The following is a 1,606-nucleotide window of genomic DNA, read 5'->3' as shown; positions in this document are numbered from 1 at the left end:
GCTCCTCCTTGGCACTTTTAGTAAGGGAGTCAGTGTCTACTTTTGCTCATGCCTGTTCCAGGAATCCTACTCATGTGGCCAGAGATTGATGTGGAATGAACTAGGGCCTATTATTTTTGGCTTGAAGGAGTAGAATAAATGTTGTGGGAAGTCAGGGACCCTGAACAGAGGGACCAGCTGAAGCCATGGCGGAAGAATATAAATTGTGAAGATTTCATGGACATTTATTAGTTCCCCAAATTAATACTTTTATAATTTCTCATGCCGGTCTTTACTGCAATCTCTGAACATAAATTGTGAAGATTTTGTGGACACTTATCACTTCCCCAATCAATACTCTTGTGATTTCCTATACGTGTCTTTACTTTAATCTCTTAATCATGTCATCTTCATAAGCTGAGGATGAATGTCACCTCAGGACCCTGTGATGATTGTGTTAACTGCACAAATTGTTTAAACAATATGAAATCTGGGCACCTTGAAAAAAGAACAGGATAACAGCGATGTTCAGGGAACAAGGGAGATAATCATTAGGTCTGGCTGCCTGAGAGCTGGGCAGAACAGAGCCATATTTCTCTTCTTTCAAAAGCAAATAGGAGAAATATTGCTGAATTCTTTTTCTCAGCAAGGAACATCCCTGAGAAAGAGAATGTGTTCCCAATGAGAGGTCTCTAAAATGGCCGCTTTGGGAACGTCTGTCTTTTATGGGTGTCGATAAGGGATGAAATAAGCCCCGGTCTCCAGTAGCACTCCTAGGCTTATTAGGACGAGGAAATTCCCGCCTAATAAATTTTGGTCAGACTGGTTGTCTGCTCTCAAACTCTGTCTCCTGATAAGATGTTATCAATGACAATGCGTGCCTGAAACTTCATTAGCAATTTTAATTTCACCCCGGTCCTGTGATCTCACCCTGCCTCCATTTGCCTTGTGATATTTTATTACCTTGTGAAGTATGTGATCTCTGTGACCCACACCCTATTCGTACACTCCCTCCCCTTTTGAAAATCACTAATAAAAACTTGTTGGTTTTACAGCTTATGGGGCATCACAGAACCTACCAACATGTGATGTCTGCCCCGGACACCCAGCTTTATTTCTCTCTTTTGTACTCTTTCCCTTTATTTCTCAGACTGGCCGACATTTAGGGAAAATAGAAAAGTACCCACGTTGAAATATCAGGGGCTGAATTTCCCCCAGTAACTAAAGAATTCCTTGCTTGGCTTTCTTTTGTAATCAGGAGCTACGGAAGGAAAGTAATAAACTGCTTCCATCTGCGTAGTTTTTAAACGTTACTGAGTGTCTTGTATAGAACCTCATGCCTGGATTCTGAGAAGCCAGATGAGCAATATGGTCCTAAAGCAGGCTGAGCCAAGTCCCTTGAGATCAGGCCACCAGGAGATAACTAGCCACAAACCACCTGCTGGTGCCTCCATCCTTGGCTCTCAGCATAACATTACAACCATGCACCTAACAGGTGTTTCCAAAGCTCTCTCCAGCCCTGTGTTTACAAGCTCACTTATTTGTGCAATAGTTTTGAATGCTTTGGGATACTTTTCATTTAAGGAAAAAAGCAACAAAACCTAATTGCCCGTGATGGAAAATAACC

The sequence above is a fragment of the Homo sapiens genome, chromosome 1, assembly GCF_000001405.40.
Source record: "Homo sapiens chromosome 1, GRCh38.p14 Primary Assembly".
Classification (NCBI taxonomy): Eukaryota; Metazoa; Chordata; class Mammalia; order Primates; family Hominidae; genus Homo; species Homo sapiens.
The sequence above is the reverse complement of the archived record's forward strand: the minus strand, read 5'-3'. Positions refer to the sequence as shown.